The 14,971-nt window shown below is 45.3% G+C and overlaps 1 long non-coding RNA gene and 1 pseudogene across 3 annotated transcripts in view; one reads left to right on the top strand and one right to left on the bottom strand.

The window, feature by feature from the left end:
- The window catches only part of LOC105373411 (uncharacterized), a 57,557-nt gene extending 44,309 nt beyond the window's left edge, over nt 1-13,248 (top strand). For all 3 annotated transcript variants that reach the window (XR_001739274.1, XR_922758.2, XR_007086198.1), the window contains exons 2-3: nt 4,316-4,644; nt 11,100-13,248. This is a non-coding gene — a long non-coding RNA (uncharacterized LOC105373411). The remainder of the gene's footprint in view (nt 1-4,315; nt 4,645-11,099) is intronic.
- Nucleotides 8,613-9,060, bottom strand: SNRPEP5 (SNRPE pseudogene 5; annotated as a pseudogene).
- Nucleotides 13,249-14,971: the final 1,723 nt, after the last annotated feature.

Below are 14,971 nucleotides of genomic sequence, written 5' to 3'. Positions count from 1 at the left end.
TCCGTGACCCTGGATGAGTCCTCGCTCGCTGGGTTTCAGTTTTCTTATCACCAACATGGTCGGGGGGTGGTCAGACAAGCTTACCCAGGGCCTTTACAGCTTGAAAACTCCGCAGTAACCTATAAAAGCATCACTCCAGGAAGATATATTGCTTTTGTGACCCAGGCAACACCACAAGGGCTTTCAGCGTTCAAGGCCATGCATCCATAGTGTGCTCTGATGTTTCTCAATATTTGACGACAAACTTTATGATCGCTGTTGGCAGGTTAGACATTTCTCCTTGGTTTGAAAGTAACAGCAGCGTGGTCTCAGTGGGAAACGTCCTCAGAGAAATGTTTGATCTTTTCTGGTGTGTTCAGTTCCGAGGTGGAAGACCCCGACCACTCATTGAGGGAAGGGAGGTGTCTGATACTTTTTAATCAAACAAAGGCATTTTCTTTTCAGGGTGTCTCTCTATACAAACACCTTTGATAAAAGATCTTGATTTGATCTTTGGTTAAAGATCAAAGCCCAAATAAACCCACCAGGGAATGAAAAAGATCAAGGACAGCACAACCCTCTTCTTGTGGGCACAAAGGCGGGCTGGCTAGCACTTTGCACTGCTTGGCCAGCCAGGAGCCCATCTGTGACTTCCAGGATCCCAAGAGTCACACAAGGCTGTGGGAGCTTCAAAAACAAGCCTGAAGCAGAGGCCCTTAGCCCATCCTCAATCGGGCAGCAGTGTGGTAGGGTTGGTATTCTCCCCGGAGCTCTGCCTTCTGCTTTGCCACACGATAGCCGTATTGGACCTGGCTGGTTTCCTTCCACTGGCGTGGATGGAGAGGAGAGGCACGGCCCCCAATGGGACCAAGGGTCCCCTTCATAGTCTCACCTTGAATGAGTTGCTTTAGCCTTCTCCCTCCTTCTTGAAACTGGTCTTCAAATCCAGCTCTACATATTTGCACAGTGACATGGTTTGTCTGTGTCTCCACCCAAATCTCATCTTTAATTGTAGCTCCCGTAATTCCCATGTGTCCTAGAAGGGACCTGGTGGGAGGCAATTGGATCATGGGGGTGGGTTTTTTCTGTGCTGTTCCCGTGATAGTGAATAAGTCTCAGGAGATCTGATGGTTTTATAAAAGGGCAGTTCCCTGGCACACACTCTCTTGCCTGCCACCATGTAAGATGTGCCTTTGCTCCTCCTTCACCTCCGCTGTGATTGTGAGGCCTCCCCAGCCATGTTGAACTGTGAGTCCATTAAACCTCTTTTTCTTTATAAATTACCCAGTCTAGGATATGTCTTCACAGCAGTATGAAAATGGACTAATTCATGCAGACAGCTGAACTTTCCAGATTCTAAGTGTCCTTTATCCATGAAATTGCAATATTGGTACCCAGGAGGCAGCTGGGAGGGATAAATGAGGTCTATGTGCACAGAGCTAGGTGCACAATACATGACAGCTAGTATTACATTCTCTTTGAGAATCCATTAATTTGGGTCAGATTGGACGTGTCTGGACATTGGGGGGAGTTTCCTGTTGGGAATACTACATGTAGCTATTCTTGAGCTTAGCACAGTCATCTTTGTAATCAACGTGTTTGTAGGATTTTACAGATTTCACAGCACTGTTGCACGCCTTATCTACTCTAACCCCCTCCGTTGTACTGCGAGATCCATCTTGTTACTTCTGTTTTACATGAGGAATATCCTGAAGAGATGGGGGCTCATGGGGATCACCTGTCCAAGGCCCTTCAGTTATAAGAAGACAAAGACTCGAGGACAAACACAAACTGATGGTCTGTACTTCTGTATCCCAGAAACTAGGCTTGTTTTACAGTCTTCATGTCTCACGACTTTCTTGCAAAAAAACCCTGCGTCCGGCTCTGTGCATGCCCATGCTGAATGCTGGAGGATTTCCACATCCAACACAGAAGCTGAGTGGGCTTCAGTTTATCTGAACATGCTAGTTTATAATCCATATTGGAGGTGCTGTGCAAGTATTTTGAGTTAGAGTAATTACTTGGCTTTATTGAGGTGTGTCCTCCTTACCTCATTAGTAAAATCATTCGTGCACAATCTGCTGAAGAGAAACATGCATTAAAAACTGAGATGGATTGTGGCCCCATGAGGCCAAATTATTCGAGGCTCTGTTTGGCCTATTTTCAATGTCTGCAAAGGACCAATACCTGCTTCTGTCATGGGAAATAGTAGATTGATTGAGAATATCCATAGTTGGAATTCTACAAGGCATAGAACTTTGGTTTATGTGGAGTTAATCAAGAGAAAGCCCAAAGAAGTCAACTGTTGGTTTCCGCCTGGAATTTTCTTAATCCTAGTTAAAGCACCAAAGATCTTTATGGCTTCAGGCTGGGCCTTGAAGGGGGAGGAGAGGCGTCTCCTTTTTCAGCCGACTTGCCTCTCCAGCTGCATACCACACTTGTCCTATCAGCATGGCATTCTGCATGTGGTTTTTGTCACGAGGAGAGGCAGTCAGGAATTTGCACTTTGATCTTCCCCCCAGAGGTGGATATCTTCCCAGGACAAAGGGCAGGGAAACAAATTCCAAACGCATGTGACCTTGGAACACCTGTTTAAGGCTCTTGCTTAAATGGTGACAATTGGAGGTGAATGTGGCAAAATCATTAAAATTAATATAGGACATCAACCTCAACAACAAGTGAGAAGGGGGTGCCCACCGATCCTGAAATGTTGGCACTGCCCAAAGAGCTGGTGATACTCAGCACAAGGCTGGGGGCCAAGAATGTCCCCCCAAATCATTCTCAAGGGGTCTATAACCTGCAAGTGGTAAGCGTGGAGAAGGCAGCGAGTAGAGTAGAGTACAGTAGAGTAGAGTAGAGTAGAGTAGGGTAGTAGAGTAGAGCGGACACCAGCTTTGGAAGCAGATGCATCCAGTTTTAAATCTTGTTCTGAGACTGACTGACTGACTGTTAGGGATTGAATTGTGCCCCCGCCCTCAGCTTTCTATGTTGACATCCTAACTCCAAATGTGGTGATATTTGGAGACGGGTTTCTGGGAGGTAATTGGAGTCAAATGAAATCATAGGGGAGAGGTCCTAATCCAGTGGGATTGGTGGCCTTATAAAAAGAGGGAGAGAGGGATTTGGCTGTTTCTCTCTGCCACGTGAGGACACAGTAAGAAAGTGGCATCTGTGAGTAAGGAAGAGAGCCCTCACCAGACACTGAATTTGCTGGCACTGGAACTGAGAGGAAATGAAGTTGTGATGTTCAAGGCATCCAGGCTGTGATATTTCGTGATGGCAGCCCAGGTTGACTAAGACAGTGACTTAAATTATTCAACCTCAAATGCTTCTCAACAACCTCATGATGTAAAATGAAGATTATAACACGGACCTCAAAGTGATGATAAAATTCAGTGAAACAATATCTGTAAGAGGATCGGCTCCTTGTAGACACACCAGCATTCTGTTTTCATCTGTGAGCTTCAACCACCAAAGCCACATTGTATTCATTGTAGTTCCCCAGGGCCTCACACAGACGAAGTTCTCAGTGAGTGGTGGTTGGATGAAGAAATAATAAATGATGGATGGGTAAGTGTGCACAGCCTCTGCTCTGAGTGCCACTCTCATTTGACCCACCGCCCTGGCCATACTGCTCACTCAGGGGGTTTTTCCTGCAACTTCCAACCTGAGTCATTTGATCACTCCACCGCTATCCACTCTCAGACCAGGACAGAGGGCCAGTGTTGGTGGAAGATGCCTTTGGAGTGATGTGATTAATTTCAGTCAATCATGATACTGGCTTTGGGGTTTTTTTTTTTTAAAATTACTTTTGAAATAGGGCCCTAGGATGGAAGAGCTTCCATCCTGGCAGCCCTGGAGCTCCTGGCAGCAATTCCCGCTCATGTGCCCTGAGTACTCAGGGCCCCACCGCTAGCCATCAAAGAATCGAGATGAAGGCTGGGTCCTTCTGGCTTTAATATCTGGGTGTTTCCCCCACATTGAGCTGTCGCCCCTCCCCCCCCCATATCTCTCTGCTACAACTCTCAGTTCAATCCTGAGGCCGCAAGCCCCTAGACCCTCAGCCACGAGGTATCATCATCTGCCTGCTGTTTGCGAACTCCTCAACCAGGACTTAGAAGTGCTGAATACTTTAAATGGTAAATCATCTTGATTGCTATAAAAAATGGGTTTGGCCAAGATGTGGGGCCTTCTCTGTAGCCAGCTGTGTCCTCAGTTTCCCTCCAGAATTACACGACGTCATAGTTTCAACAAGCATTTCACAGTGGAATGAGTGGTTTGTGGCCGGCAGAGTCAGAGGAGTTGAATTTATGATGGCATTTTTTTTTCTTTACAGGAAATAAAGGAAAAGAATGTCTTGCTAAATCAACAAAGCTGCTGTATCATTGTTCATTTGGCCAGGCAATTCCTCATGGGACCAGTAATAAGCTTCAGCTCGGCCAAACCCATTTTTGATAGCAATCAAGATGATTTACCATTTAAAGTATTCAGCACTTCTAAGACCTGGTTGAGGAGTTCACGAACAGCAGGCAGAGCTGGGCAGAAGAGATCAAGACAGACGGGACCTCAGCGATCATGGGTTCCAGCCTTTTCCTTTCACAGGTGAGGACACTGAGGATGCCTGGGAGAAGGAACTTGCTGGAGGTCCCTGCGAGGGTGTCTGAGGTGAGGCTCATCCCCGTGCTCTGTTCATCATTGCCGCCCGAGTCCCTTCTCAAAGCCCTTTGCGGGTGATTCCTATGCAAGGTGCAATTGCCGGTGGGGCTTGAGCAGGTCCTTCCTTGGGAAACACGAGGAAGGGCTAAACAGGGAGAGAGAGGATCCCACGCTTGGCATCTGCAAGGTGGGAGGAGAAACGTGGAGAAAGCAATTGCCATGTGCCTTTGTCGCCGTGAGGCTCAAAAACCTGGACTCACCCGGCTAGGAATTTCTCTCTTAAAATAAAATGGATTTGCTTTGTGCTTTACGGGGATTCCCTTAAAGCGTTTCTCATCTTAATCCTGGGGAGGAAGTGGTACTCAGTATTTTGTTTGTGGGCAACAGAGAATTTAACTTTCTGGGCCTAAGTGACAGACTCAGAGACGAAGATGAAGGTTGGAATTTGGTGTCTTTTAATCTCTACCCCCTGGTTTCATCTGTTCTCAGTGTCCCTGAAGCAATGGCCTAGACAGGGTTGATGTATTCATGAATCTGAGGGACTTTCACGTGAACTTGAGGCAGGCTTGGTCTGCATGCTGCTTTGTAGCATAAAGCTTGGACCTGTGTGCAAAGTGACAGTGCAACGAGTTTCAGCCCATCCCAAGAGAGAACACAGGCCTTTAGAGCTGCCTGTGGGGCGCTGACTGGTGTCATGCCCGGGTGGTCCAAGGTCTGCAGGACCCTCTACCAAGGGCACTTCTTGGACAGGGCTCCTGACTGTCTCTCCCACCTCTGATCTTCCCCCTGTCATCTTGGTGTTAAGATGACTGGAGCAAGGGCTTCGCTCCTGGGACTCATTCTGGGTTAAACTGAAGGGAGAGTGAGTTAGAACCCAGCGCCTTAGGGAGAAGCAGATGTCGTCTACCTGCACAGACTCTGTTTCCCCTCATCTGAAGAAGCCTCAGTCCTCCACATGTTATCACCTTCTCTAGGGCCCAGGCCCAGTGGAAGCTTTTACGGGGAGGTTTCAGAGCACAGTTTCAACCAAGAGCAAACATGTAGTAGCTTCAGGGTTTCAGAAAGCTGATTTTCTGCCCACAGCACAGTTTCGGGCCTCCTGAGAATGCTTTTCTTGGACACAGTGATCTTTGGTACAAAGAAGGGCAGAGAGGAAATGGCGTGTGGATGAAGAACTGTGCCTGTTTTAGTGACTGGCGGGACATATAGGCGACTGTAGCTGCCACACTTTGTGCCTATGAATTACTCAAGCCGGGACTTTAGGTTTATGATAAATAATAATAATAATTCAGGTTTGACCGTTCCTATTTGGGTGTAAATAGAAATCTCTGATTAGGTAGTAGAGTATTTGAACCTATAGTTTGATTTGAATTCTTCAAGCAATGTGATTTTTCTCCCTAAATCAACACACTATCTGAAATCCCCCTATGAACATTGCCTTTTGTTATGAAATGCAAGGAGAAAGCACTCAGCTTGTTCTCTAAGTTCATCTTAATGTTTTTCTTGTGACTGTCTGTAGGAAATTCAAAAGTTCTAGGAGATAGAGTCCCTGTAAATCACTGTTTGGGTTTAAAATGACCTGTAAATAATGACTCATCACAATGTACTCGTAAGTATAGTTAGCATCACTTAACGACGGGGATCCGTTCTCAGAAATGCATCATTAGGTGATGCCATGGTGAGGCCGTCCCAGAGCAGTCACACACACCTTTGGCAGAGCCCGCTACACACCTGGGCTATGTGGTGTAGCCTATTGCTCCTTGTCTTCAAACCCGAACAGCATGTCACTTTGCTGAATACTTTAGGCAATTGTCACACAATGGTATGAATAAGTGTTTATATAAATATAGAAAAGGTCCAGTAAGAATATGGCATAAAAGATGAAAACCTAGTACACCCATCTAGGATGCTTACCGTGAATGGAGCTTGCAGGACTGGAAGTTGCTTTGGGTGAGTGAGTGAGTGAGTGGTGAGTGAGTGTGAAGGCTTAGATATTAGTGTACATTCCTGTAGACTTTGTAAACACTGTACACTTCAGCTATGTTAAATTTATAAAAAAAAATTTCTTGCTTCAATAATAAATTAACCTTAGCTTATTGTAACATTTTTACTTAATAAACTTTCTATTTTTTCAACTTTTTGACTTTTTTGTAATAACAGCTTAAAACACAGACACAATGTACAGCTCTACAAAAATATTTTATATCCTTATTCTATACGTTTTTTTTCTATTTAAAAATTTTTAAAAATTTGACTTTTTTGTTAAAAGCTAAAACACACACACATTATCCTAGGCCCACCCAGGGTCAGGATCATTAATATCACTGTCTTGCATCTCCACATCTTGTCCCACTGGAAGGTCTTCAGGGGCAGAAACACACATGGAGCTGTCATCTGGTATGATAGCAATGCCTTCCTCTGAAATATCTCCTGATGGACCTGCCTGGGGCTGTTTTATAGTTAACTTTTGCTTTTTAATAAGTAGAAGGAGGCAGGGTGCGGTGGCTCAGGCCTGTAATCCCAGCACTTTGGGAGGCCGAGGCGGGTGGATCACCTGAGGTCAGGAGTTTGAGACCAACTTGGCCAACCTGGTGAAACCCTTTCTCTAGTAAAAACACAAAAATTAGCTGGGCGTGGTGGCGGGTGCCTAAAATCCCAGCTGCTTGGGAGGCTGAGGCAGGAGAATCGCTTGAACCTGGGAGGCAGAGGTTGCAGGGAGCCGAGATTGCACCACTGCCCTCCAGTCTGGGTGACAGAGCGAGGCTCCGTCTCAAAAAAAAAAAAAAAAAGGTGGAAGCAGTATACTCTAAAATAACGATAAAACATATAGTAAGTACATAAATTAGTACAACATACTATATTATGATAATAGTCATTTATTATCATTATCAAGTATTATGTACTATTCACAATTCTATGTGCTAGATTTTTATACAACTGGTAGCGCAGTAGGTTTGTTTACATTAAACACGTGAGTAATGTGTTGGGTTAATGCCATGATGACAGCTATAGCATCACCACCAGGAGACAGGAACTTTTCAGCTTCATTATAATCTCATTGGATGGCCATGGTACATGTGGTCTGACATTGACTGAAGTACTGTTATGTGGTGCATTATTGTATATATTTGCCATAATTTAAAAATTGAGATATGATTCATATGTCATAAAATTCACCTCTTTAAAAAGTACAGCCCAGTGGTTTTTAGTATATTCACAAAGGTGTGCAGTCATCAGCACTATCTAATTCAAGGACATTTTTGCTGCCTCAAAAAGAAACCCGGAAACCCATTAGCATTCACTTCCCATTCCCTCTTCCCCCAGCCTCTGGCAACCACTGATCATCTACTTTCTGTCTTTACGGATTTGCCGTATTTCCTACAAATGAAAGAGTATAATGCACACCTTTAGTGTCTGGCTTCTTGCACTGAGCATAATGTTTCCATGATTTGTTTATGTTGTAGCATGCGTTAATTATTCTTTCTTTTTATTGGCAAATAATATTCCATGGTATAGATATGGATATATCATGTTTTATTTATTAACTCATCAGTTAGTGGACTTTTGGGTTGCTTCTCTTTTTTATTTTTATTAATTTTTAGACAGAGTCTCACTCTGGTCCCCAGGCTGGAGTGCATGGGCGCCATCTTGGCTCACTGCAACCTCTGCCTCCCAGGTTCAAGCGATTCTCCTGCCTCAGCCTCCCAAGCATCTTGGATTACAGGTGCCCACCACCAAGCCCGGCTAATTTTTGTGTTTTTAGTAGAGGTGGGGGGGTTCATCATGTTGGCCGGGCTGGTCTCAAACTCCTGACCTCAGGTGATCCACCACCTTGGCCTTCCAAAATGCTAGGATTACAGGCGTGAGCCACCACGCCCAGCCCTCCTTCCCTTTTTGACTGTTATAAATCATGCTGTCATAAACATTCTTGTACCAAATTTTGGGAGGACATATGTTTTCTTTTTTCTTTCTTTTTTTTTTTTAGTACAAACAATCCCACAGCATTTATTGCCATCTTGTAATAACATAAGGGTAATCAAAACAATATGAATAAATGTTCATATTGGACATCTAAAAACAAACTGTATCCTTCTCAACAATTTCTCACTTCATTGATCATTTCTAGTTGGAGACACTTTGCAGCAGAGGAATATTATCTCCTTTTAGCATGAGCCGACCCAGTTGTTTTCTTGACTTTGTTTTAGAATGAATCTCTTCGCATAATCTAATACAAGGTTCATATACTCATCAAAACCAATGATACAGCCTTCTATCCTCATATTCACTTGCTCATAGAGCTACACTTGAATCCGTGATCTATTTTGTAAGTATCTGAAGATGAGGTTGATGGGCTGCACCATAACCCTTTGCACTTTCTGGCCCTGGCCATGGTACACCATGGTGGAATTTCACAAGAGGAGGACATATGTTTTCAGTTCTCTTGGGTACATACCTAGCAGTGGAATTGCTGAGTCAAATGGTAACATTATGTTTAACTTTTTGAGGAACTGCTAAACTGGTTTGGTAAGTGGCTGCATCATTTTCCGTTCTCACTAGAAATGCAGGAGGGATCTAGTTTCTCCACATCTTCCTTAACTAAACTTGTCAGACAATTACAAGATAGACCATATCTTTCTTTCTTTAAGTGGTCCTAACGGGTGTGAAGGGGTATCTCCTTGTGGTTTTTGCTTTATATTCCTTTAATAACTAATGACGGTGGGCATTTATTCATGCACTTGTTGACTGTTTGTACAGCTTTGGAACCATGTCTATTCAAATCCTTTGCCCATTTTTGAATTGGATTTGTTGTCTTTTTATTGTTGAATTTTAAGAGTTCTTTATAGATTTGGGATATTAGGCCCTTATCAGAAATATGATTTGAAAAAATTTTCTTCCATGTCTTTTCTCTTTCCAGTTTATCTAATATTTTTTCTTTAGTTGTCACATGTCTGTTGTTTCCTAATCCAAGGTTATAAAGATTTACAACTATGTTTTCTTTCAAAAATTTTATAGTTTTAGCTCTTAACCCTTGGATATTTTTATTCTTAAATTATCAGGCTCAGCTCTGGAACACTTTTTCCATTTTGAATTAACATTTATTATATATAAAAGAAAAATATTAAGGAATTAAAATTAAAAATATATACCTTTTAAAAAACAGAAACTAATCTTTAAAATCGATTTTGTAATTTACTTCATTTAATATATCAGAAACATTTTCTGATGTCATTATTCTCCTACAACATAAGTTTGATTGGTAGCACAATATTCCATTGTTTGGGTATCTATTATTTTTTAAATCCCTTATTATTGGACATTTATGCTATTCCCATTTAGAAAATAGTAGCAGTACAGCAATGAGTGCATGATAATTTTCTCAGAATAAATTGTCAAAAATGTTTTTAAAGGAATAAACCCCATTTCCAGCATCCTAGTAAAGCATGTGTACAAGGGTTCCCTGAGAATTTTCTGGAATAAAGTGAAGGACAGTTAGATACAAAGGTAAATAAATGACTTTCATTTTGGGGGAGTGCCTTCTTGACCTTGTCCAATATTCAGATATTTTCTGTAAGTTATTTTCTTTGTTACTATACTTAGCATAATTACAATTTTAAATACTACATAATATTATATTGATTTGATGCAAGATAATTTACTTATGATGCCCAGATGTTAAATACTTAAGTTGCGTTTGACTTTATTTATTTCTTTTTTACTTTAAGTTCCGGGATACAAGTGCAGAATGTGCAGGTTTGTTACATAGGTAAACATGTGCCATGGCGGTTTGCTGCGCCTATCAACCCATCATCTAGGTTTTAAGCCCCGCATGCATTAGCTATTTATCCTGATGCTCTCTCTCCCCCCACTCCCCACACCCCCTGGTGTGTGTTGTTCCCCTCCCTGTGTCCATGTGTTCTCATTGTTCAACTTCGACTTATGAGTGAGAACATGCAGTGTTTGGTTTTCTGTTCCTATGTTAGTTTGCTAAGGATGATGGCTTCCAACTTCACCCATGTCCCTGCAAAGGACATGACCTCGTTCCTTTTTATGGCTGTAGCATTTGACTTTTAATTTATAGGGAATACCACAGTGAACATGTTTTGTGCATACGATTTTGATCTTTTGAATTGCTTCCTTAGGGCAGGTTCCCAGCAGAGGGATTTGGGGGTGAAATGGCTAGAATATTTAGAGAATATATATATTGTCTTGTCGCTTCTGGAAGGGACTGTAGCAATTTGCACTCCCTTCATAGTGCATGAGGGTCCCGCATCCGGGCAACTTGCCTCCAGCCCCCCCACACACTTTGAAGTGTTTCGGCAAGGATTTCAGGTGAATGGTGGTTGAGTGAAGGGAGGGAAAAGTTACTTCCTATTTTACTTCTATTTTGTAATTTTTAAGTTTACATTGAAGGATGGTTCTTTGTGTTTCTGCGGATTTCATGTATATCCTGTTCTTTTCTCCAGAGAGTGAAGTTTCAAACTTGATCTTCAAGAAAACAGACTATCTATCTGAGGCTCTATTAGAAGGACTGGTGCTCAGTGACTTCCGAATTGGGAAATCTTTAATACGCACGTGGAGACATGGCATAGTTTCCAGGCTTAAAAAGATGGGGCTTTTCCACCCAGAGCTGGACGTCTCCCCGTTTTATTTTCTGTGACCATAAGTTGTAACCAGCCCATAACTGCTCCCCTCCCGTCCCTGCGGTGGCTGTGGGTGGCTGCCTGTCACCACGGCCATGGCTCTGTGGATTTTCCCAGAGTGGACACCGGGCCCAGGCCCACGGTTCTCATGTAATGGCTTCGGCTGCCTGGGTTCGAGGCTCAGCAGCACTGTCTGGAGGAAGGTTTCTGAGCCCAGCGTGGGATGGGTCCAGCCTGCCTCAGAGGGGGTGCCCTCGGCTCTGGGGGACCCACTCTCCAAGACCTTTATCAAGAATCCACTGCGTCAGAGCACTTTGGGGGCCTCGAATGTTGTATCATTTCCAGTGAAGCCGACCTTAGGCAGTTGTGGCCCAGAAGGGTGTTTGCACTCTATTCCTTAGAAGAGTGGGACCTCAGCCCTCTCACCACCACCATGAGACCCTCGAGAGGAAATGGGTTTGGTGGGAGGGTCTGAGTTTGGAGGGCTTGGAGAACTGTGGAGGTAAAACCGAGCACAGCTGGAGCGGGGTACTCTTGTCAGAAAGCAAGGGGCTTTGGGACAAGTTATCCAAAGCCAGGGGCGGCTCCCCACTTGCTGGGAACGCATAGCATTCTCTCGGGCTGCTGATGCTGGGCCTGGCTGTGGAAGGGGCCCCGTCCTGGGCCTCTGTTCAGAGGGTGTGCAGGAGGCCCTGTGGAGAGTGCTGGGCCGAGGGGCTGCAGTGCTGAAGTCACGCCCGGATGGGATTCCTGCAGCTCTGACTGGGGCTTTCCACCTGGGGCACCAGGGGCAAGCCCCGCCCCTTTGGGTGGCATCTCCCTGGGAAGGGACAGGCATGGTGGGCCTGCCCCAGACCCTTCCCTCTCTGACCGTCTGGCCTTCTCACCGGGGTTCAGACCCTGGGCTCCTCCCACCTGTGCCCCTGCCTTTGCCTTCTGGACTTTGTGTCTGCTTGCGCCCAGGCCCTCCCCTTGCCCCAGTGGACTTGGGTCTGGCTTCTCCCACATGGTGGCCTCTAGGAGCACCTGTGGCCCATTTTTAGCCCTCTGAACCCAACCCTTCCCACCAAGCTGCCCCAGCGTCCCCGAGGGGGCAGCAGACATGCCTTTTTCTGGTTAATCCTCCGGAGGGGACATGGGCAGGATATTTTCCTACAAACCAGCTGACCTGTATGCAGGTGAGGCTTCCTCAAATCCTCTAGCCCCAGTGATGGACCGGCGGCCGGAAGACTGAGGTGGGATCCTCGGAAGGCTTCCAGGAAGTGGTAGAAACGTTTCCAGAAAGGTTTAATTGTTCTTAGAGGCCACATCTTCCTCGTCTTGGAGATGGCGCCGCAGCCCTGGCTGTCTCCCAAACTAGAGAGCAGAGAGTCCTGCTTCCAGTCGCCGTCACTTAAGCCCGACATCCTCCTGCAGCCCAGTCCTGGTTATTCTCCCCAGTGACCTTTCCAGCCTCTACTCTGCTCCCACTCCCACCACCTGGGCTCAGGCCTTCACTGTGTATTGTATATTCGTTGTATATTGTATATTCGTCATGGATTTTATATTCTATATTGTAGAGCCATTGCATGTTGTATTCTCATCGTATGTTGTATACACACCGTGTGTTGTATATTCATTGCATTTTGTCTATTACATGTTGTATGCTAATCATCTGTTGTATACTCATCCATTGCATATTCATATTTCATATTCCTTGTATATTGTATATTGCAGACTCATATATTGTATATTTACATGTTGCATCCATCATAATTGAAGACTCATTGTATATGTCCATATGTTGCATATTCATCATGTTGCATACTCATGTTACATATTCATCATGTTTTGCATATTCATGTGTTGCATATTCATCCTATGTTGCATACTCAAGTGTTGCATATTCATGTGTTGCATGCTCATTGTATATTGCATGCTCACTGTACATTGTATAATCATCATATGTTGCATATTCATCTTATGTTGCATACTCGTCGTATATTTCATACTCACTGTACATTGCATATTCTTTCTTTTTTTCTTTTTTTTTGAGACAGAGTCTCTCTCTGTCACCCAGGCAGGAGCACAGTGGCACGATCTCAGCTCACTGCAACTTCTGACTCCCAGGTTCAAGCGATTCTCATGCTTCAGCCTCCCAAGAAGCTGGGACTACAGGTGCGTGCCACCATGCCCAGCTAATTTTTTTATTTTTAGTAGAGATGGGGTTTCACCATGTTGGCCAGGCCGGTCTCAAACTCCTGGCCTCAAGTGATCCACCAGCCTCGGCCTCCTAAAGTGCTGGGATTACAGACGTGAGCCACCACGCCCGGCTAATATTGTACACTCATCATATGTTGCATAATCCTCCTAGAGTGACTCACAGTGATGCAACAGGACTCCTGCGTGATGTCTTCCTATCAGGTCTCACTGTCTCCAAGTCAGCCCCCATGTCTCGTCCCAGTGCTGACTGTCCCATCTCCTGCTCTGTTTAACGGCCTCCTTTAGCCTAAGGGCCCTCTGCTGGGCCTTGTCCCCCAGCTTCCTCTCCTGCCTCTGTCACTCCTCCCTGGTTCGTGTGGCCCTTGGTGATGCCTGGCGGCCTCACTCTCCCGGCTTTACCAGTGCCTCTCTCTCTCTGCTGGGACCTGCCATTCCCACATTTTGGATCAGCCCCCAGGTACTTTTTGGAAACTAGCAATTGAGTAGTATGTCATGGGTTGCAGAGCCCCTCTGTGGACTTGACTGCTGTCCAGGGACTGCTTGTTATAATAGCATCTGAGTGTGCGAGTGGAATAAGGCCAAGAGAGGGTGAGTGAACAGCCCAGGGTCACATAGCTCCTAAGAGTTCAGCTGGGCTCTGACCTGGCTGCTCCGTGTCCTGAGCCAGGGCATTTCCATGCCCCTGCGCCACCCCCATGGGATCCACTGACAGTTCTGCATTCATGGTCCTTGATTGTGGAACTGGATTTGCCCTCTGCCCCTCACTAATCAGCTAATTGCTGTCAGCCTTAGTCGGCCTGTGGTCCCTGGGGCTTACCTGGTTTTCCGTGGAGCCCTAACCCAACTGATCTCACTTCAGCTCTGCCTTTGATGGGGCGGTGGCAGATGGGAGGCAGATCCCTTCTGGTCCTTGCGAACCTGCCCCTATGTTCGAGAGGGCACAGGCTCAGGAGAGGGGTTTCCCTGGTCCCCATCCTGCTGTGCACTGGCCAAGACTTGGAATCCACACCCCAGTCCTGCTCTCTGCAGGCTTCCTCAGCATATCACAGGCACAATGGTAGCAGGCTCACACACACACACACACGCTCATACACATGGCACACACTCACACGCAAAGAGCCACACAGGGCCAACATGCTCACACACACTGTGTAAGTGTGCATGAGTGCACACACACCACACATGCAAACACACCACACATACAACACATACATATACACACCACACATATACACACACACCACACCACACATTACATACACCTACCACACACACCCCACACATACACACCACATATATACACACACACACCATACCCACATTACATACACCTACAACACACACCCCACACACACACACCCCACACCACATGTATACACACACACCACACTGCACATACATTACATACACCCACCACACACCCCACACATACCCCACCCATACACACATACCACACCACACATGCACATTACATACACCTAACCACAGACACA

This window comes from Homo sapiens, chromosome 2 (assembly GCF_000001405.40).
Source record: "Homo sapiens chromosome 2, GRCh38.p14 Primary Assembly".
NCBI classification, from domain to species: Eukaryota; Metazoa; Chordata; class Mammalia; order Primates; family Hominidae; genus Homo; species Homo sapiens.
The sequence above is the reverse complement of the archived record's forward strand: the minus strand, read 5'-3'. Positions and strand labels throughout refer to the sequence as shown.